Genomic DNA, 24,524 nt, shown 5'->3' on the forward strand with positions numbered 1-24,524 from the left:
GTAAATGGAAATATGTCTGCATGTGCTTCAGTAATTAGACTGAGTCATATTGTTTCGAATTTCCATTTTTTGTGGATCTTTTAAGATGCTAACCATATAAGACACTTAATTTTTATATTTGTAAATTTTACCTTTATTTAATTAAAAGTCCTTTCATCTGCATAACAAAAACAGTCAATGCATTATCAATTGTGCTTTTTCATTCACAGCGGAACTTTCAGGACTACTTTTTATTGGAGATGCAATTCTACAGGTATACATTTTATCACTATATGTGTGGTCAAAACATTAACTCAATTTACAATATGCCATGGGAAACTATGCTTTTCTTTTCATTGCAGATAAATGGCATTAATGTGAGAAAATGTAGACATGAAGAAGTGGTGAGTTTACTTTTTCCTAATGTCATAGTTTTCCCCATGTGCAAATAAGAATTTAGTGCATTGCTAAAGACTGTCACTTCATTCATTAGGCAGATATGACATTTATCCAGTTTGATATCAAATTTTCAAATGTTCTCTTAATTTTTTTTTAAATTAGAAATAGATTAACGAGTCCTATCAAGGATGAAATGTGTTCTGAAGAATTCTTACTTAAAGATGGTCATTTTCTATGTTTTTCCAGTTTTTCTATCTACCCCTACCAGTCAATGTCCATTAAATACACCACTGGGCGAAATACATCTCTAAATCTCTGTAAATGTTTAAAAGCTTATAAACCATACATTTATGCCTGTAGAATCTCACACAGTACAGTCATCCCTCCCTATTCATGGGATTTCACATCGGCAGATTCAACCAACCATCTGTAGAAAATATGTGGGGAAGAACAATAAGAAATAACAATCAATAATAAAAATAATACAAAAAATAATGACTATTACATAGTATTTGCATTATATTAGATATTGCAAGTATCTAAAGATTATTTTAGGCATACAGGAGGATGTGCATAGTTTATATGCAAATACTACAACTTGTTATATAAGGGACTTGAGCATCCACGGGTGTTGGTATCCTCTGGGGTCCTTCCTGGAACCAGTCCCCCACAGACAGATTACCTAGGAACAAATGGAAGGGCATATAAAGACTGCGTGTGTGTGTAGTCTGTGTGTGTGAGTTTGTGTGTTTCTGTGTGTGGGGTGGTGGGGAGAAAGAGAGAGACAGAGAGAGAGAACCTTAACCTCAAGGCAGACAGGTTTAGCAATAGACAGAGTAGTCATCCAGTTTTTCGGCAGTATTTTCTTAGATTTGTGAATGTACAGATTCCCAAGCCCTGGAATTAGATATTCTAATTCAGCCAGTTTGGGAGGGCCCAGGGATGTGGATTTTAGCAACCGGCCTAAGTGTTTCCATCATAAGTGGCCTCTAAATTAAACTTTTAGAGAAGCTGAAAGGTTAAGGAACTTCTGTTGGGGGTGGTGAAATGACATTAAAAAAATACAGAAAGGAACAGGACTGTGGTAGGCATTCTAGGACATGTCTGTCGTGGTTGAATAAATATCATTCAAAAACCTCACTGATTTCTGTATCAGCTCCTATGGGAAAGAGTAGAGGATAAATCGTATTTAAAAGTTTATACTCAAAGGTGAAAGAAAATAAGAAATACTGTAGTCCTTTTGCTTGTCACAGCTCTAGTTTATTTGGTTTTTGAATAGATTGCTCCTCTGTTAAAAGCTATTTAGAGAAAACTATGTTGATACATTTCACATCTAAGAGAGGCAACCTCAAGTGTCTGTGAAAAGCCACGGCTGCACAAGAACCGAGACGAAGGAGGGTTTTTAATTAGGAACACTTGGCATAACTAATCAAGGTTTTTTAGTATTTGTCACTTGTCTTTGTCTTCTTAAAATCTTATTGGAGTCATGCTCTTGCCACTCTGTGCTCAAGTTCATGTAAAATATACATATTTCAATTCCCAAGTTTCCTACAAATATGTGCAAAAAAACTAATATTTTAGAACAAGTTTGTAAACAAGTGAGAAACCAGCACAGCACAGAGCCTTCTATCTTGCAGATTCCTATGTAAATTTTAAATATAGTCACATAAGCAAAGCTGCTTGTAACTTGACTCTTTTTTCAAAAGTACAAAGTGATTTTAAACTCATTACCCAGGGAGTAAAACCAAGTGCATTCTCTTTTAAAACCACATGCTGTTAGACGGAATGCAATTTGCCCTTCAGAGGCAGGCAGCATGCTTAGACAAACTGAGATGGAGCTTTGATTAAACAGATTAGTGCAGCATGAAAGATTAGAACGCACCAATAATTCCACTTCTGAATGGTTCTCATTCTGTTATAAAGGAAAGAAATTTGGGATTGTATTGCAAATTATATGTGGTCCTTCACAATAAGCTTTTATTTTTTTCTGAGAAGCTTAACTCTACCAGCTTTGAAATATGAGTACTAATATTTTTATTTATTTCTAATATTTCACTTTCCAACAGCTATTAGATGCTTTGTCCTCACTGCTTATTAGCTAAGCCAGTAGACTTACACCTCAGTAGAACAGAGATATTAATTAAATGTTTAATAATCAACCTACAAGGGCAGAAAAAGGTATAACAAGCTGAGAGAATGTAGGTGGTTTTGAGCTAGCATGCTGATGTACCACATTTCTTATTCCAAATAGCATGCTGATATGCCACATTCCTTGTAAAACACCAAATTCAGAAACAAATTGGGCAGGTATGGAAGCATGTTGTTTGTGCATGTAACTTTTATTTTATATACCTACTCTATTCCTTGATGTTAGAAATTCTGCATTCAGTCTATGATCAGCTTTACTGTCAAACAGTCTTCAAAAGTGTAAATGTTACTTTTGTGTTGGAGTTATCAGGTTTGATTTATATAGAAGGGGGATTTTACATTGTTCAGGTAGTGGACAGTACCTGGTGCTGTGAGCAGTAGGTGCTCAGTAGATTTGTGGATGGGATTCTGTAACCAAATGCCTAGAATTAGATCATGGAAGCATTTACATCTACTGTATATATTTCTCATGGGACCAGTACGGGAGTGTAAGTGAAGTCCTGGCTTCACCACATCACCCACTGTATTCTTGCTGGAAGATTGTTAAGGAAGAGAAGCTCACAGTTTCCTCATGAAAGGAAACTAGAACCAGTGCCCAGCACCGCTTGGCATGCAGCATGGTGCACACATAGGGCTTCAATGCTCAGAAACAACTCTGCAAATCATAGCTCAACCACTTACAAACATTGTAATTTAAGGTGAACGGAATGAACTAAACTTTTCTATCACTCTATTATGTATTCATAAAAATGAACCATTAATAAATGTTATGGGAATGAATGAGAGTACCATATGTGAAACTCCAAGCATATACCTGGCAATTAATTGGTAATACATTATTTTGATGGCACCAAATGCCACCGCTCACATGCTGCTGCTCTTCTCCCTATTCCCCCTCCGTGGGCACTGCTGTGTCAAGGTGGGACAGGGTCTGCTTAGGAGCCATGATGGGCCCTGGGGGGTCACACACAGACAGAGCCAATGCTGCTGCTCAGCATCCCATGCTTCCTCCAACAATTCCAGTGAGGAGTTGACATGGTCAAGAGTGGCACAGCAAGAGTGGCAAGACTGTGTGAAAAATGGGGATTCCTTGTTCATTCTAGCAGTGTGTGTTTTTATTTTCCATGTGAACACGTTTTGGAGCTTATGAGTTGTACCTCCAAGAGACCAAAGCCCATCAAGGAAAATGATCTATTGCCACTACTGATGTTAATTAACACTGATGCTATTCTCCTTACCACTGAACCCTAGACATATTAAGCTGATGGCCATCTCTATATCTTGTCATCTGTATTTTTCTTTTGCTTAACAAGTAAACTGATCACATATCAAGAATTATCTGGGCCAGGTGCGGTGGCTCATGCCTGTAATCCCAGCACTTTGGGAGGCCGAGGTGGGCAGATCACGAGGTCAGGAGTTCAAGACCAGCCTGACCAACATGGTGAAATCCCATCTCTACTAAAAATACAAAAACATTAGCTGGGTGTGGTGGCATGCACCTGTAACCCCAGCTAATCAAGAGGCTGAGGCAGGAGAATTGCTTGAACCCGGGAGGCGGAGATTGCAGTGAGCTGAGATCACACCACTGCACTCCAGCCTGGGTGACAGAGCAAGACTCAGTCTGAAAATAAACAAACAAACAAAACAAAACAAAACAACAACAACAAAATTGTCTGAGTGGCTGGGTGGCAGGGCGTGGTGGCTCACGCCTGTAATCCCAGCACTTTGGGAGGCCCAGGAGGGCAGATCACTTGAGGCCAAGGGTTCCAGACCAGCCTGGCCAACATGGTGAAACCCTATCTCTACTAAAAATACAAAAATTAGTCAGGCGTGGTGGCGCACGCCTGTAATCCCAGCTACTCAGGAGGTTGACGCAGCAGAATTGTTTGAACCCAGGAGGCAAAGGTTGCAGTGAACTGAGATCGTGCCACTGCACTCCAGCCTGTCAGACAGAGCTAAAAAAAAAAAAAAAAAAAAAAGAATTATCTGAGTGCCATCTATGTGAAAAGCACTGAGACTGAGTACTTTCTGAGGCTGAGTACTTTGTGTGATAAGAAAGAATATATAAATAACTGTATATCGCTGTAACCTTATTGGTATGTAGACATCATTTCTTTAGATTTTAATAATTGAGTATACAAAAATTTTAAGAAAACTATTAGAAAGGGGCAATATGAAAACAATGTTTATTTACAATGGTCTTTAACATATAACAATGGTGATCTTCCTCTCTTCACTAGAAATAATAGTAAATAAGATTTAACTATAGCAGAAAAGTATTTGTTGAGTAAAAAGCATCCTGGTTCTAATAGGATAATCTATTCGTATAACTGAAATTTCCATCTAATGAGACTTTTGAAAGAGATCATCATTAGGCAAAGCAAGATGGATGCATAGCTGATTCCAGAGGTTTCCTTTTAAAGTAGCATTTCTGCTTTCAGACTTGAGATTTATGGGTTTCAAAAAAAATATGTTCATCTGCTTTTTGTTTCTATGATTCTCATGAATAGAATTTATTAGGTAATTTGAATTGCAAAAATTAACACCTAATTCTGAAGTCATGATTTTGAACTAAACTCTAAAAACATTCATAATTCTACATAATTCTAAAAGAACAGACTGAGTAACTAAAAGTATGTAATTTAAAATGACACCTTCATACAGTGAAAACAAATGCTGATAAAACCTAATGCAAAAATCCTGGCTAATAGCATTTTGCTTGTTATGATATATGCCTAAGTCAATTTAAAATTTCCACTGGAGTAGGAACATATTCTTTTTTACTTTAGATTAATCAGACAGAAACAATACAAGAGTTATAACAAATTATCTGGAAAAAGGCATAAATTTATATATTGGAACAGTCTAGGAGGTTTTATATGTCACCAAGGAACATATTTAGCATGTGAGTTGAGCACAAAGATCATTTTAGATTAAAATATCATGAGGCACAAATCATGTTTTACCTAACTGCTAACGATTACATTGTTTACAATCTGGAAATAGGTTTTGAGCTCTAAGTGATTAATACTGCCTTAAGAATTCTAACCATACTGGATAGTTTTTCTTTGAATTAACTTCCACCAAGGAAAGCTATATACAATGTAATTTAACTTTGAATATTTCTCAGTGCTCTGGGAAATGTTTAGCGCAAAGACAAAAGGCCAGAAATGCTGTCTACACTATGTCTGCTTTTGAAAAGAAATAAAATATCCTTGCCTTATTTTCATACTTAGCTTTGCATTAATACTTTTAGGGATGCCTTTTTTGCTAGACCCACATGTCCGTCCCCTGTATAAGCTATACATCCAGACAGCACAGGTGACATTTTAATGACTGCATGCTTGTACTCCTGACTGCTGATTCTTATCAAATCTTTATTTGTCCTCTTATTTTTTGAGTGAAGTTGAACAACTTAGAGAACTGAAAGACCCAATTTTGCAAAGCTCCATCTAGTCCATCCCCTCAGCTGTAACAAAATACTTGTAACTGGGTACCTTATAACTAATAGAGGCTTTTTTTTTTCCCTCACAGTCATGGAGACTGGGAAGTCCAAGATTAAGGCACCAACAGGCTTGGAGTGCACTGAGGGCTGCTCTCTGCTTTAAAGATAGTGTCTTTTTGCAGCCTCCTCTGGAAGGGATGAAAGCTGGGTGGGTGCTCACATGGCAGAAAAAATTTGAAGGGCCAAGTAGCTCTCTGAAGATCTTTTATGAGAGCATTAATTCTGTTCATGAGAGTGAAACACTCCTGATTTAATAACTTCCCAAAAGACACCACCACTTGCTACCACCACAATGGGGGTCAAGTTTCAATATAAAATTTAGAGGGACACAAACATTCAAACCTTAGCACCTTCTAATAATGAGACAAAACCAGGCCTGAAAAACCAATTACTTAGGAGGGCCCCAGCCGATTTCCTTGGAGAGGAGTCTAAAAACAGGATACATCTCAGAAGGCACACCTAAACCAGGTCAAATTGGGAGGAGAAAGCTGGCAGGGCAGGCATGGGTGAGCCTGCAATCCCTTCACACATTCTGCAAGGATCTTCTCAGACACTCTCCTGTCTGGGGGGTTGGAATGAGGAATGCGTGTTATACAAATTCCAAAATTTTCACATAGCTGACATTTTATTTTCACAATAACCAGCTGATCAAACTGAAAGCCAAGGAGAAGAAACCGTATGACAACGGAGATTTTAACTCAAGGTAAAAGTTTTGTCACACTTTCCACTGTTTGATGTTGATAAAGGGCCTCATTCTGTCTTGCCCTCGTTTTTCTCATCTGAAGGATTAAGAGGTCGCAGTAGATTATTGCTTAGGTCTTTTTCAGGTAAAATCTTCAGTTCTTTCATTGTCAAAGAACACAAACATTTGTTAAAGCCCACAGAGCTGCAGCACACAAAGAGGAACCTCTAATGGGGCTAACTATGGGCCTCAGTGGATGACAACGCATCCACACTGGCTCAGCGATGGTCACAAATGCACCATGCTGATGCAAGATCTTAATAAGAGGGGAACTCTTTGTATTCCTGACTCTTTCCGAATTCTCTATCAAAAGACAATTTTAAGGCCTTCCCAAGGAGCAAATGTACAATTTTAAGCAAATGAATACAGAGATGTGAGATTAGGCAAAATGTTTTTACTTCTCTCCCCTTTTGAAACACTTTTTATATGACAATGAATAACTCTTTAAAGGTAAAAATCATACAGATAAAAGAGGAGGAGAAGAGAAGACAGGGGGCAAGGGTTGTTGGTAACTTTATTTAAGAATAGAGAGCAGATAGACAAGACGGGGGGAATCCTGAAGGGCCAAGGGGCTGTAGCCAAAGCCGCCATCCAGCAAACATCCCCACTGCAGGCCTCAGACAGCAATCGCGAATGGGAGTGTTGAAAGGAAGGGTTGAAGAGGTGTAGCCAAGAACAGGCAATCGAATTAGAGTTCAAGAGGCTCTGAGTATTCAGCCCCAGGCACTGCCATAAGTACAGCGAAAGGTACATTCTGGGCAGTAAGTGGTCTGCGTTTGTCCTTCTTTCAGCTCTCAGAACACTGGCAGCCGGTTTCACCACTCAGAGAAGAGGTGAGAGGATTCTTTTTTAGTGAAATTGATCTAACAGAAATAATCCACAAATAGTACATTTGGACTCTCCTGTTGCAAACAGGGTTCACCCTAAACCACACAGTGGAGCCCAGTGGATAAACCATGAATCCTGTACCCAACGCTGTCAATTTGCTTTTCAGTGTCTCACTCTCAAATATTTTGTAATACCAAAGGATCATTAAGATTTGAAGAAAATCAACCACATCAAAGGCAGAAGCTAAAACAGGAAAAAAAAAACTGAGGAAACAGACAAAGCAAGGTTTATTGAACAAAAGGATTTTATATTGTAATATTTTCAGATAGATGGTGAAAATTAATTTGTAAATGAATTAATGCTACCATTATATATAAAAGGAACATGCAGAAAAAGAAGAGCTCTTGGATATTAACACTTTGATATCTATCTTCAAAAATTAGATTACAAAAATGTTGGGAAACATCTCAAAATGGAATAAAGTAGCAAACAAGAAGGTGATATGACAGACAAAGAATATGAGAGATACTACATTCAATAATTTTTACACTGAACCAATGGAATTCAGAAATAAAATATTACATGAAATAAAAGGAGCATCCATTATCAAAAGAATAATACAAGAAAAATATCCAGACTTCTTGTATATATTTTCCAATAGAAACACACTACCAATTAAAAAAAAATAAAAGCATTTTACATGTCTACACTTGCCATGAAGTAGCATCACATTTTGATATTACTTTGCATTTTCCTAATGACTAAAAGTATTGAACATTTTTTCTTGTGTTTGTTATATATGCCATATCACTTTTATTAATTGGGTTCACTTCTTACTGATTTCTAAGAGTTTGTTTACATAATCTGGCCACAAGTCAGATATACAATTCGCAAATATTTTTTCCTAGTCTGTGGCTTAGTCTCTTCAATTACTTAATGGTATTTTTTGAAGCTTAAAGGTTTTGACTGTTAATAAGTCTACTTTATCAATATTTTAATTTTGTCAGTTGTGCTTTTGGTGTCTTAGTTAATAAATCTTTTCCTAATCTAAGGCCATACAGACTTACTGCCATGTCTTATTCTAACGGTTTTATAGTTTTAACTCTTGTATTTATGTCTAGGTTCAATTTTGAGTTAACTTTCGTATACAGTAAGGTAAGGTGTCCCATTTATTGAGAAGACTATTCTTTCCTATTCTATTGCCTTGACACTTCTGTTGAAAATGAGTTGCCCTAAATGTTAGAGTTTATTTCCAAATTCTTAATGCTGTTCCATTAATTTATTCACATATACCAGTATTACATTCTTGATTCTTGTAACTTTGTACTATGTTTTGAAATTAAACGTTGGTAAGCCATCAAACTTTGTTCTGTTTATATCTGATTGTTAAGCAAACTATTTGTATTAGAATGGTTTTAGTTTTTATTTTTATTTTTTATTTGAGCATTTTATTTGAATCATCATAAGAGAGGAGGTAATTAAAATAAAATATTCGAATATATATTTATTTTGAATTTTCATGTATTTTTCTCCAAATGAAATATACCCTTTTTATGCAAAATGATATACATTTTTTCTTTTTCAACTTTTATTTTAGATTGTGGAGGTACATGTGCAGGTTTTTTACCTGGGTATACTGCATGTTGCTGAGGTTTTGGGTATGAAAGACCCGTCGCTCAGGTAGTGAGCATATTACTCAACAATAAGTTGTTCAGACCTTGTACCCCTCCTTCCCTCCTGCCTCAGTGTCTATTGCTGCCATCTTTGTGTCCATGAGTACCCGATGTTTAGCTCCCACTTACAAAAGAACATGTAGTATTTGGTTTTCTGTTCCTGTATTATTTCACTTAGGATAATAGCCTCCAACTCTATCCATGTTGCTACAACAGACACGATTTTTTTCTTTTTTACTGCCATATAACATTTCATGGTATACATGCACCACATTTTCTTTAATCTTCCCTTGGTGGGGACTTAGGTTGATTCTGTGACCTTGCTACTGTGAGTGGTGCTGCAATGAACAAGTGAATGCGTGTGTCTTTTCTGTAAAATGATTTGTTTTATTTTGGATATATACCCAGTCATGGGAATGCTGAGCCAAATGGTAGTTCTATTTTAAATTTTTTGGGAAACCTATAAACTGCTTTCCACAGTGGCTGAACTAGTTTACATTCCCACCAACAGTGTATAAGCATTCCCTTTTCTCTGCAGCCTTTATTAACAGACATTCTGAATGGTGCGAGATGGTATCTCCTGTGATTTTAATTTACATTTCTTTGATGATTAGTGATGATGGACATTTTTAAATATGTTTGTTTGCTGCTTCTATGTCTTCTTTTGAGAAGTGTCTGTTCATGTCTTTTGACCATTTTTTAACAGGGTCATTTGTTTTTTGCTTGTTCTATTGTTCCAGTTCTTTAAGGACTCTGGATATTAGTCCTTTGTTGGATGCATAGTTTGTGAATATTTTCTCCCATTCCGTAGGTTGTATGTATACTCTTTTGATGGTTTCTTTTGCTGTGCAGAAGCTGTTTAGTTTAATTAGGTCTCACTTGTCAATTTTTGTTTTCATTGCAATTGTTTTTGAGGACTTAGTTATAAATTCTTTCCCAAAGCCGATGTCCAAAATGGTATTTTCTAGGTTTTCTTCTAGGATACTTACAGTTCGATGTCATGCATTTAACTCTTTGATACATCTTGAGTTAATTTTTGTATATAGTGAAAGGTAGGGGTCCAGTTTCTTTCTTCCGCATATGACTAGCTAGCTATTCTAGCACCATTTATTGAATAGGGAGTCCTTTCTTGATTGTTTATTTTTGTCGACTTTGTCAAAGGTTAAATGGCTGTGGGCATATGGTTTTATATCTAGGTTCTGTATTCTGGTTTTAGATTGACAGAAAATTGCAAAGATACTACCAAGAATTCTAATATACCCCTCACACATATTTCCCTAATATTAATATCTTTTGATATTATGAAATTATTACTAATATATTACTAGTAAGAAAAGTTTGCACTTTATTCAGATTTCATTAGTTTTTACCTAATGGCTTTTTTTTTCCTCTTACAGGATCCCATCAGAATACACATTGCATTTAGTAGTCATGTCTCTTCAGGGTCCTTGCTTTTAATTTTTTGATGACTTTGAAAGTTTTAAGTAGTACTGGCCAGGTTGTTTTGTAGAATGTCCTTCAGCTGAGATTTTTCTGGTGTGTGTGTGTGTGTGTGTGTGTGTGTGTGTGTGTGTGTGTGTGTGTGACTGTACTGGGTTTATGTGGTTTTCCAGAGGAAGACCACGGAGTGAAATTGCCATTCTTATCACATCATATTAAGAGAAAACTACCAGCATGACTTATTACCATTGATAATAACCTTGATTACCTGTCTGAGATAGAGTTTTTCAGAATTCTTCATTGTAAATGTATTTTTTTCTGTCCAGACTATGTTTTCAAGAAGTATGTCACTATACCCAATGCCAATTATGCAGTTGAAAACTGTGCTTTACTGTGTGAGGGCAGGCTATCTACATAATTATTTAGAATTCTGTTAACATAGATTTATCTATTTTCTCAATTTATTATTTATCTGATCATTTTGATAAATCACTCTGGATGCATATATATTTATTTTATACTTTGGGATGTAATCCAATACTATCTTATATATTTTACTGGTCAACTGGTTCCAGTTTTGGGTATTGGGAACTCTTTCTGTGGACTTCAGTGTCACTTTTAAATACTCTAATATAGTAGGATTTGCTGTTGTTGTTGTTATTGTTTGTTTGTTTGTTTTGTTTTGTTTTCAGCACCTCAGCTTCTGGCACTAACATACTTTTCAGGCTGATCTTGCATATATTTCCTGCCAGTCTAAGAATCAGACATTTCCCCTAGAAGTTCTGCTTGCCTTTATTAGAGAATGGTACTAGAAATCAAAATCTGGATTCTAGATGTGCAAAGTAGTGGTGCTTTCTAGGCCTTCTCAGCTAGGAAGGAAACATGTGTATACATGCCTGTTCATATACACATAGAGGCATACCTTGGTGATACTGTGGGGTTGGTTCTAGACACTGCAGTAAAAGACCACATATTCGGTACAGTGTACTCTGCTCCAATGACAGGTGCACCAAAATCTCAGAAATCATCACTAAAGAACTTACCCATGTAACCAAAAGCCAGCTGTACCCCTAAAACTATTGAAGTCAAAATAAAAAATAAAAAGATAAAAAAGAGAATATCACACTAAAGTGAGTCTTGTAAATTTTGGTTTATGAAAATATCTATATGGAAGTACATATACAAGTTATATTTAAAATATACTATAGTCTATTATGCATGCAATAGGATTATTTCTTAAAAATGTACATAACTTAATTAAAAATATTTAATTGCTAAAGACACTAACAATTATCTTAGCTCTCAGTGAGTCATAATCTTTTTGCTGGGATAGAGTTTGCCTCAATGTTGATGACTACTGACTGATTAGAGTAGTGGTTACTGAAGGTTGGGGTGGCTGGGGCAATTTCTTAAAATAGAACAATGAAATTTGCCACATCTATTGGCTCTTCCTTTCATGAAAAATTTTCCGTAATGTGATGCTGTTTAATAGCATTTTGAACTTCTTTCAATATTGGAGTCAACTTTCTCAAATCCTGCTACTGCTTTATCAACTAAGTTTACATAATATTCTAAATTCTTTGTTGTCATTTCAAGAACGTTCACAGCATCTTCACCAGGAAGAGTTTCCTTTGCAATAAACCACTTTCTTTGCTCTTCCATACAAATCAGCTCCTCATGTATTCATGTGTTTTCATGACGTGGCAGCAACTCAGTCGCATCTTCAGGTTCTACTCTTTTTTTTTTTTTTTTTTTTTTTTTTTTTTTTTTTTTTTGAGACGAAGTCTCATTGTGTTGCCAGGCTGGAGTGCAATGACACGATCTTGGCTCACTGTAACTGCCGCCTCCCAGGTTCAAGTGATTCTCCTGCCTCAGCCTCCCAAGTAGCTCGGACTACAGGTGTGCACCACCACACCCAGCTAATTTTTGTATTTTTAGTAGAGATGGGGTTTCTCCATGTTGGCCAGGCTGGTCTTGAACTCCTGACCTTGTGATCCACCTGCCTTGGCTTCCCAAAGTGCTGGGATTATAGGCGTAAGCCACCACGTCCAGCCCAGATTCTACTTCTAATTCCAGTTCTCTTGCTATTTCCACTGTTTGTTGTTGTTTCCTACACTGAAAACTTGAAGCCCTCAAAGTCCTCCATGGGGGTTAGAATCAACTTTTTCCAAACTCCTGTTAATGTTGATATTTTGGCCTCACCCATAAAACAGAAATGTTTTTTTAATGGCATCTAGAGTGGTGAATCCTGTCCAGAAGGTTTTAAATCAACTTGGCCCAGATCCCTCGTAGGAATCACTATTTTTGGAGCTATCACCTTACGAAATGTATTTCCTAATAACAAAACTTGAAAGTTGAAATTACTCCTTGATCCATGGGCTTCAGAATGGATGCTGTGTTAGGAAGCATGAAAACAAAATTAATCTTATTTTACATCTCCATTAGGGCTCTTGGGCGAGCAGGTGAATTGTCAGTGAGCAGTAACCTTTTGAAAGGAATCTTATTTTCTAAGCAGTACGTCTCAACAGTGAGCTTAAAATATTTAGTAAACTATGCTGTAAACAGATGTCCTGTCATCTAGGCTTTGTTATTCTATTCCTAGAGTACAGGTAGAGTAGAATTAGTTTAATTCTTAAAGTCGCTAGCATTTTCAAAATGGTACACAGACATTGGCTTCAACTTAAAGCCACCAGCAGCATTGGCCCCTAATAATAGAGCCAGCCAGTTCTTTGAAGCATTGAAAACAGACATTGACTTCTCCTCTCTAGCTATGAAAGTCCTAGAAGGCATCCAGCAGAAGGCTATTTTGTCTACAGTGAAAAATTGCTCTTTGGTGTAGTCACCTTCATCATTTATCTTCACTAGATTTCTTAATAACTTCCTGCAACTTCTCTATCAGCACTTACTGCTTCACCTCGCATTTTTATGTCATGGAGATGGCTTCTTTCCTTAAACCTCATGAACCAACTTCTGCTAGCTTCCAACTTTTCTTCTTCAGTGTCCTCATTTCTCTCACATTTCATAGCATTGAAGAGGGTTAGGGCCTTGCTCTGGATTAGGCTTTGGATTAAGTGGATGTTGTGGCTGGTTAGATCTATTCAGACAACTAAAACTTTCTCCGTATCAGCAATAAGCTTGTCTCACTTTCTCACCATTTGCATCTTCACTTGAGTAGCACTTATAATTTCCTTCAATAACTTTTCTTTTAAATTTACAACCTGGCTAACTGCTTGTGCAAGAAGCCTACAATTTGCCCTATTTTGCCTTCCAATACCCCTTCCTCACTAAGTTTAATAAGTTCTAAGTTTTGATTTAAAGTGAGAGGTGTGGGAATTTTCCTTTCACTTGAACACTTACAGGCCATGACAGCATAATTACTTGGCCTAATTTCAATAATGTTGTGTCTCAGGGAGTAGGAAGGCCTGCAGAGAGGGAGAGAAATGGGGAAATGAACAGTCAGTAGAACAGTCAGAACACACACATTTATCAATTAAGTTTGCTGCCTTATACAGGTGTGATTTGTGGCACCCTATAAATAATTATAATAGCAACAACTAAGATCACCGATCATCAAGAGGCTGATGCAGGAGGATCACTTGGACTGGGAGGTGGAGATTAAAGTGGGCTGAGATCACACCACTGCACTCTAGCCTGGGTGACAGAGTGGAACTCTGTCTCAAAAAACAAACAAACAAACAAAAACCAAAAAACAAAAAACACTGATCACAGGTCACCATAACAGATACAATAATATCTGTTAACATAGTATCTGTTAAATAATATCTGAAAAAAGTATCCATTTTTCAAGCAGTTTGACTAACTGAAAAAGTCAAAATATTGTGAAAATTACCAAACTGCAACCCAAAGACACAAAATGAGTACATGCTGTTGGAAAAAAAAAAAAAATGCTCTGATAGACTTTCTCCACACAGGCTTGTTACAAACCTTCAATATATGAAATATGTAATATCTGCAGAGGTCAGTTAAGTCAAGCACAAGGAAACAAGGTGTGCTTGTATCTATTCATACACATTTCTATATGTAACTAATATTAGCTACTCCTGAGTTTATACTGCTGTCTCTAACTCAACCCTTTATCACATGAAACACCACAGCCTCCTCCCCTTGCTCATCTCATTCTAACAAATGGTTATATTATCTGTCATTCATTTATTTAATTGTTCAAATCTAGTATATATGTACAGCAGTATCAGAATAAGCCACTCCACAATGGGAAACAATTTTATCAGGTAGAGTAGAAGAATTATGCTCAGTCCCTTTCCCCTTTGTCTTACAGACCTTAAGTGAAGTTGCTTCAAACATTTGTAACACAATAAGATTCTCTTGTCACATTCTGCATTTTGTCATATCTCACAACCTCCTAAGTTGTTTTTATTCTAAGATTTTCACACACTGAAGTTAACTCTTTGATTGTAAATTCAATGGGTTTTGACACCTGCACAGTATCATGTATGTAGCCACTGTTACAATGTCATACAGAATAGTTTCACTGCCCTAAAAAATCCTCTAGGATCCATTTGTTCCTACTATCCTGGCCATGGCCTTCAGGAAGCCATGGATCATTTCACTGTTTCTGTAGTTTTTCCTTTAACAGAATGCCAAGTAATTAAAATTGTGAAAATCTAGCCTTTTTAGATTGGCTTTTTTCACTTAGCAAGGTGCATTTAAGATTTATGACTTTTTTCCTGGCTTGAAAGCTCTTTTTGTTACTGAAGAATATCCCATCATATGGATGCAGTATAATTTGTTTATCCATTCACCTGTTGAAGGGCATCACACTTGCTTCTACTATTTGTCAATTATTATATGAAGTGCTATAACATTTCCATGCAGGTTTATGTGTGGACATATTTTTAGAAATCAATTGGCTCAGAAGGCAGTTTCTGAATTATATTGAGAGACTATCTTTAGCTTTGTAAGAAACTGCCAAACTGTTTTCCAAAGTGGCTATACCATTTTGTGTATATGCCTGTAGTAAATGAAAGTTCCTGTTGCCCTACATGCATGCCAACATTGTCATTCATTGACATAAAAACTAAGTGTCAAGCTCAAGGTTATTTTATACTCCACTTTCTTTTAGAATTTTATAGTATTGCATTTTAAATTTAGGTCTATTATTAATTTTGAGTTCATTTTTGTGAAAGGGGTAACACTTATATTTAATTTAATTTTTATTTTTTGCATATGACTTTCTAATAGTTTCAGCACATTTGTCAAAATCTTACCAATTTCCCATTGAATTGCCATTGCTTCTTTGTTGACCAGTTGTTTATATTTATGTGGAGCTATTTCTGGTCTTTTTGTTCTCTTCCATTGATCATGTGTATTCTTTTGCCAACACCATGCTGCCTTAATTATTGTAGCTTAATTGTAAGTCTTCAAATTGGGAAACATGAGCCCTTTAACTTTTTCTTTCCCAATATTCTGTTGCAATTTAAAGTCTTTTGCTGTTTCATATACATTTTAAAATCACTTTAAAATATCTACAAAATAGCTTTTTGGATTTTGATGGGAATTTCATTAAATTCATTGATCAGTTTGAGAAAATCAGCATCTAAGCAATGTTGAGTCCTCGAATCCATGAACATGGAACGTCTATTAATTTAGATTGCCTTTGCTCTATCAGCAGAGCTTTGTAGTTTTCCACATATAATTCTGTACATATATTGCTAAATTTTGACCCAGGTACATCAATTATTTGGTGTTATTGTAAACAGTATTGTTTTTCTAACTTCAAATTTAAATTGTTTATTGTTGGTAAGTAGAAAGCAATTAACACTTGCATATTAAATGTCTATCCTTCTACCTTGCTATACTTCTTCATTAGTTCTAAGAGGTGTCGTGTTTTGTTTTGGTTTTGCTTCTGGTAGATTTTTTGATATGGTGGGTTTGTCTGGATTGCAAACTTTGATTCATACATGCTTAACTGGAATAAATCTCATTTGGTGTGATGTATAACTCTTTTTATACATTATTCAGTTTGATTTGCTAATATTTTATTCACAATCATTGTAGCTATATTCATGAGAAATATTGCTCTTAATTTTTTTGTAACGCTTTTAAAAACTTTTGTGGGTGTTAGGTTAATTATGTTATCACAGAATGAGTTACAAACTGTTGCCTCTCCTTCTGTGTTCTAGACAAAATAGTGGAGGATTAGTATTATTTCTTCATTAAATATGTGATATAATTTACTAACGAAACTCTAGATTTCGTGCTTTCTTTTTGTAATGTTATTATTTATTCGTTAAATATCTTTAATAAACATAGGCCATTTTGTATTATCTATTTCTTCTTGCGGAAATTTACCCAGATCATGTAAGTTATCAAATCTGCGGGCATAGAGTTGTTCACAGTGTTCCTCTATTAGCCTTTTGGTATCCATGGGATCAATAAGTATGATCCCTCTTTCATTTCTGACACTGGTAATTTGTATCTTTCTCTCTTTATTTCTTGGTGAGTTTCCTAGCAATTTCTCATTTTCTTTATCTTTTCAAAAAACAAGCATTATGTTTCATTATTTTTTCCCTGTTGTTTTTTGTGTTTGCTTTCCATTTCATTGATTTCCTCTGTAGTTTTTGTTATTTGCTTTCTTTTTACTTTAGGCTTTGATTGCTGCTTTTTCTAATTCTGTATTGTGAGAGCTTAGATCATTGATTTTAACCTTCTTTACTAATACATGCATTCAATGGTTTAAATTTATCTCTAAGCACTGCTTTGCCTGCATGTCACAAATATTGATAAGATGTATTTTCACTTTTATTGAGTTCAAAATATTTTTAAATTCTCTTCAGACTTCTTAATGACTCACATGCTATATAGAAGAGTACTGATTAACCTCCAAATAGCTGGGGATTTTTGAGGTCTCTTTATTTTACTGATTTTTATTTTAAATTCTTCATTGTCTGGGAACGTATTTGTATAATAAATATTTTTTTTTCAAAAAATAGTTAAAATTTGTTTTCTGGCATAGAATATAGTCTGCTTTTATAAATTTTCCATATAAGCTTGAAAAAAGTATATGTTTTGCTACCTGTAAATGGTATATTCTATAAAAGTCTATTATAACAATAGTACTGTTCAGTCCAACTGTATTTTTAAAAAACTGCTACCTGCTTGAACTATCAGTTTTTGAAAAAATGCCATTATAGGCTAAAATTATAATAAACATATATTTCTCCTTTCAGTTCTATCAGTGTTTTTGCCACACATATAATAACATGCTGTTGTTAGATTGTCTAATATTGCTATGTCTTCTTTGAGATTCTACTGGTTTATCTTACTTAATTCCTCACTTAATCATTATTTCATTCCCCCCCTTAGCTTTAGTAATTCTCCTTGCTCTAAGTCCTCTTTGTCTGTAATTAATATATCTCCTCCAGCTACCTTCATTAATGTTAGCAAAGTATATTTTTCTCCATCTCTTTACCTTAAACCTATAGGAGTCTTCAATTAAAATGGGTTTCTTGTAGAAGTTAGAGTTGGGTCTTTTATATTCCCTAGATAATCTGTCTTTTGGTTGCAATATTTATACCATTCAAATATAAAGTTATTGATGTAACTGAATTAATATCCACCATGTTTGTAATGTTTCTCTATTTATTGCTTTGGTTCTTTGTTCCCCTCCCCCACTCTTTTTTAACTTCCTTGGTTTACCTTAAGCATTTGAGTAAGCCCACTACATCCTTCTCTTATTGTATCAATTATGCTTTTGAAAACAATTAGTGTTTGTTTTAGTTTCCATTATGCGTTTTTAAAAATCTGTATGCATTTTCAGATAGCACTGTGCTGCTTCTTCATGTGTAGTGCAGGTACCTTTTAACAGAATGTTCCCAATTCCTCCCTCCCATCTCTTATGACATTACTATAATTTATTTTACTTATCCATAATCTTTAATCACCCCACATATTGTTAGTACTATTATTTTATACAAAGAGTTAAGTTGACAAGAATGAGAAAAGCAAGATAGTTTATTTACTTGCGTTTATTCTTTCATTGGCATTCTCCTTTGCTTGTGTGTATCTGAGCTTCAGACTTGTGTCATTTTTCTAATCCCTGTAGGAATTCCTACATTTCTTGCAGTGGAGAGTTCCTGGCAAGGCATTTTCTACTATTGTTTGCCGGATTAAGTGTTTATTCCTCTACTTTAGAAGGACAGTTTTATGGGACACAGGCTTCTGTTGGTGTCGTTTTTGTTTTCAGCAATTGACATGATTCACTTTTTTCTCCTCTTGTTTTCTTGGGTTCTAAGGAGACCCAGTAGTCTCAGGACTGCACTCCCTATTCCCCTGCTGCGTGTCCACCCCCACCACGGTCAGGGTTCCATACTGCAGTCAGGTTCTGCCAGCATCCTGAAAACCTTCCAGAGGCTTCCCAGCATAGAAAAAATGAGTGCAAAGTCATTATCTGGGCTTCAGCAACTCCAGTATTCAAAATTCATCTAATTCCTTCACCCTCTAACCCAGCATGTGCCAGCCCCCACTCCCCCACTTTTGTTGGGGCTCACACTCACCTTAAGGCCTTTGTCCTTGTCTTCTTTTCCTGCATTTTTCTCCCCTGATCTCTTCATGGTTTAGATTCTTGTCATTCAGACCTTAGATTAAAAGCCTCCTTATTGCAGGCATGGTGGCTCACGCCTGTAATCCCAGCACTTTAGGAGGCCAAGATGGTCAGATCTCTTCAGGCCAGGAGTTTAAAATCAGCCTGGCCAACAGGGTGAAACCCCGTCTCTACTAAAAATACAAAAATTAGCCAGGCGTGGTGGCGTATGTCTATAATCCCAGCTACTCGGGAGGCTGAGGCAGGAAAATTGCTTGAACTGGGAGGCAGAGGTTGCAATGAGCCAAGATGGTGCCACTGCACTCCAGCCTGGGCAAGAGAGAGGCTGTCTCAATAAATAAATAAACAAACAGTTCTCCTTATCACAGAAACCTTCTCTGGTAAGTCACACAATAGAAGCCGTTTGCCATTTTGGGCTGCCCAGCGCCACACAAACATTCTTATATGAGGGAACATTCCAAGACAATTGGGAAATAGGTCCTTGTCTAGAACAACAAAAATGAATTGAAGGAATATAAATTCCCCCATTAAGTTCTCTACAAAATAGAATGTTAACAAAGCAACAAAGTTTAGCCGAACCTAATACTCCCAGTAATGAACTTTAATCCTAAGAAATAAGAGTGAAATGTCAATATGAGATTATGTTCTGTGCCAAAATGGCCAAGACATTGTGTCCAGAATTGGTTCCTTCCGGTGGGTTCTTGGTCTCGCTGACTTCAAGAATGAAGCTGCAGACCCTCACGGTGAGTGTTACAGTTCTTAAAGATGGTGTGTCTGGAGTTTGTTCCTTCAGATGTTCAGATGTGTCTGGAGTTTCTTCCTTCTGGTGGGTTCATGGTCTTCCCGACTTCAGGAGTGAAGCCGCAGACCTTCGTAGTGAGTGTTACAGCTCTTAAAGGTGGCGCGTCCAGAGTTGTTTGTTCCTCCCGGTGGGTTTGTGGTCTTGCTGGCTTCAGGAGTGAAGGTGCAGAGCTTCGCAGTGAGTGTTACAGCTCTTAAATGTGGTGCGTCCGGAGTTGTTCATTCATCCTGGTGGGTTCGTGGTGTTGCTGGCTTCAGGAGTGAAGCTGTAGACCTTCGCTGTGAGTGTTACAGCTCATAAAGGTAGTGCGGACCCAAAGAGTGAGCAGCAGCAAGATTTATGACAAAGAGCAAAAGAACAAAGCTTCCACAGAATAGAAGGGGACCCCAGGGGTTGCTGCAGGGGGCTCTGGTGGCCGGCGTTTATTCCCTTATTTGGCCCCACCCACATCCTGCTCATTGGTCCATTTTACAGAGAGCTAATTTGTCCATTTTACAGAGTGCTGATTGGTTCATATTTACAGAGTGCTGATTGGTGCATTTACAAACCTTTAGCTAGACACAGAATGCTGATTGGTGTGTTTTTACAGAGTGCTGATTGATGCATTTACAAACTTTAGCTAGACACAGAGTGCTGATTGGTGCATTTACAATCCTTTAGCTAGACAGAAAAGTTCCCCAAGTCCCAACCCACCCCAGAAGCCCAGCCGGCTTAACCTCTCAACATCAGTGCCACAGCATAAATGTCCAGGTGTCAGCCGTGGTAGAAACATCCCAAGCAAGGTGTTTAAAAATCATATAATTTTTTTTTTTTTGGAGACACCCTTGCTCCTATCAGAGTGTGTTTCAATAGACATTGCTTCAATTTTATGAGCTAATACCTTTGCGATATACTTATAGTCTATGTAAATTAAAAATTGTCATCTATGTATAATACTACATAGGAAATAATACTAAATAGAAAACAGCAAGATATTACTACAACCTTATTAGAATGGCTACAATTCAAAAAATCAAGCATATCAAATGCTGGCAAAGATGCAAAGCAGCAGAAACTCATTCACTGCAGCTAGAAATGCAAAATGGCACAGCCACTGTGGAAGGCAGTTTGACAATTTGCTACCAAGTTACATATTATCTTAGCATACAATGCCACATGCCCACTCCTAAGTATTTATCCAAGATAAATACAAACATGTCCACACCAAAACATATACAGGAATGTTTGTAGCAGGTTTATTCATAACCAACAGAAACTGAAACCAAGAAAGATGTCATTCAACATATGAATGAAAAAGCAAACTGTGGTAAAATGAAATACTATTTTGGAATAAAAAGAACACAGACTACATGACCCTATATGTAGAAATCCCTAAAGAGTCCATAAAGCAAAGTTAGAACTAATAAATTTAGCAAAGTTGGCAGATTGAAAATTGACACATAAAAATCAGTTGGATTTCTATACACTAACAATAAACTACCTAAAAACATTAAAGGAAATTTTATTTAAAATAGCATAAAAATAAAATATTTAGGATTAAACTTAATGAAGGAGGCAAAATATTTTTACATAGAAAACTCAAAAATATTTCTGAAATTAAAGAAAGTACAAGTAAATGGGAAGACATCCTATATTCATGGACTGGGAGAGAATTTTTATTAATACATCAGAACTACCCATTGTAATTTACAGAGTTGGTGTGATCTCTCAAAATTGTGATGGTGTTTTTCTGAGAAATAGAAAACTCCATTCTAAAATTCATATGGAATTGCAAGAGACACCAAAGAGCAAAAGTTATATTGAAAACCAGGAACAAAATCAGAGGCATTACACTTCCTGATTCCAAAACTTATTACAAATCTACAGCCAAAACAATGTGGTAGTGATATAAAGACAGGCGCCACATTGTAGATGTGATGAAGAGAATAGTTAGCTCAGTAAACGATTTTAAATAACATTTTAAAGACCATTCAATTAGGAAACATAGTCTTTTCAACAAATGGTGTTGGGAAAACTGGATATCTATATGTGAAAAAATTAAACTGGACCATTGCATCATACCATATAAAAATTAACTCAAAATGGATGATTAAAGATCTAATAAGACCTAAAAAAATACTAAACTCATACAAGAAAACAGAGAAAAGCTTTATACCATCAGATTAGGCAAGGAATTTTTGGATGGAACACCAAATCACAGGCAACAACTGAACAGATAGATAAATTGTACTAAATCAAAATGAAAAACTTCTGTGCATCAAAGGACACAGTCAAGAGAGTGAAAAAGGCAACCTATGGAATGGCATAAAATATTTGTAAATCATATATCTGATAAGAAGTTAATATTCGGAATATATAAAGAACTACATTTAACAACAACAACAACAACAACAAAAAACCTTACCCAATTAAAAACTGTCTAAAAGACTTGAATGGACATTTCTCCAAAAAATATACACAAATGGCCAAAAAAACATATGAAAAAATGCTCAACACACTAATCGTTAGGGAAATTCAAATCAAAACCACAAAGTGATATTCTCAAACCAGTTAGGAATGCCACTATTAAAAACAAAATCAAAACAGAAAACAAGCGTTGGCAAGTGATATGGTTAGGCTTTGTGTCCCCAACCTAATCTCATCTTGAATTGCAATCCCCACGTTCCCCAAGTGTCAAGGGAGAAACCAGGTGGAGGTAACTGAATTATGGGGGTGGTTTTCCCCATGCTCTGCTCATGATAGTGAGTGAGTTCTCAGGAGATCTAATGATTTTATAAAGGGCTCTTTCCATTTCATTTGGCACTTCTCCTTCCTGCTACCTTATGAAGAAGATGCCTTGCTTCCCCTTCACCTTCTGCTATAACTGTAAAATTCCTGAGGGCTCCCTAGCCATGCTGCACTGTGAGTCAATTAAACCTCTTTCCCTTAAAAATCACCCAGTCTCAGATATATCTTTATAGCAGTGTGAAAATTGACAGATACAACAAAGATGTGGAGGAATTAGGACTCCTGTGCACTATTGGTGGAAATGTAAAATGGTATAGCCATTATGAAGAACAGTATGATGGTTCCTCAAAAAGTTAAAAACATAGCTACCATATGATCCAGAGTGTCTCCTCTGGGTTTATATTCAAAAGAATTGACGGCAGTTGTGAAGAGATGCTTGCAATCCCATGTTCATGGAAGCATTTTTCACAATAACCAAGAAGTGGTGGCAATCCAAATGTTCATTAACAGATGAATGGATAAACAAAATGTGATATATACTTGCAATGGAATATTATTCTCCCCCAAATGGAAGGAAATCCTTTTACATGATACAACATGGATAAACCTTGATGACATTATGTTGAGTTAAATAAGCCAGTCACAAAACAATACATCCTGTATGAAACCACTTATATGGGGTACCTAGAGTAATAAAACTCATAGAAGCAGAAAATAGAATAGTGTTTTCCAGAGCCTGGGGGAAGAAGGGAACAGAGGGTTATTGTTTTAGGGGTATAGAATTTTAGTTTTTAAGTTTTTTTTTTTCTTTTCCCCACTGGCTCCACCACAGAGGTGCAACGGCTCCATGGAGTCTAGAGTTTCAGGTTTTAGAGTTGAAAACATTGTGAATGTTTGTTGCACAACAGTTTGAATATACTTAAAACTGCTGCACACTTAAAAATGATTAAGATGGAAGAAAACCTAGGCAATACCATTCAGGACATAGGCATGGGCAAGGACTTCACGTCTAAAACACCAAAAGCAATGGCAACACAACCCAAAATTGACAAATGGGATCTAATTAAACTAAACAGCTTCTGCACAGCAAAAGAAACCACCATCAGAGTGAACAGGCAACCTACAAAATGGGAGAAAATTTTCTCAACCTACTCATCTGACAAAGGGCTAATATCCAGAATCTACAATGAACTCAAACAAATTTACAAGAAAAAAAAAAAACAACCCCATCAAAAAGTGGGCGAAGGATATGAATAGACACTTCTAAAAAGAAGACATTTATGCAGCCAAAAGACACATGAAAAAATGCTCATCATCACTGGCCATCAGAGAAATGCAAATCAAAACCGCAATGAGATACCACCTCACACCAGTTAGAATGGCGATCATTAAAAAATCAGGAAACAACAGGTGCTGGAGAGGATGTGGAGAAATAGGAACACTTTTACACTGTTGGTGGGACTGTAAACTAGTTCAAATGTTGTGGAAGTCGGTGTGGCAATTCCTCAGGGATCTAGAACTAGAAATACCATTTGACCCAGCAATCCCATTACTGGGTATCTACCCAAAAGATTATAAATCATGCTGCTATAAAGACACATGCACACGTATGTTTATTGTGGCATTATTCACAATAGCAAAGACTTGGAACCAAGCCAAATGTCCATCAATGATAGACTGGATTAAGAAAATGTGGCATA

At 36.3% G+C, this 24,524-nt stretch overlaps 1 protein-coding gene across 21 annotated transcripts in view; it reads left to right on the forward strand.

Moving 5' to 3' along the window:
- Positions 1–24,524, forward strand: part of SNTG1 (syntrophin gamma 1) — an 886,897-nt gene that overhangs the window by 540,551 nt on the left and 321,822 nt on the right. For all 21 annotated transcript variants that reach the window (NR_135796.2, NR_135795.2, NR_135797.2 and 18 more), the window contains 2 exons: positions 210–253; positions 342–383. Coding sequence is in view for 16 of the 21 variants with exons in the window: in NM_001287813.3 (NP_001274742.1) it covers positions 210–253; positions 342–383 (86 nt within the window). In the remaining 5 variants the exon portion in view is untranslated. The remainder of the gene's footprint in view (positions 1–209; positions 254–341; positions 384–24,524) is intronic.

This window comes from Homo sapiens, chromosome 8 (assembly GCF_000001405.40).
Source record: "Homo sapiens chromosome 8, GRCh38.p14 Primary Assembly".
Taxonomy (NCBI): Eukaryota; Metazoa; Chordata; class Mammalia; order Primates; family Hominidae; genus Homo; species Homo sapiens.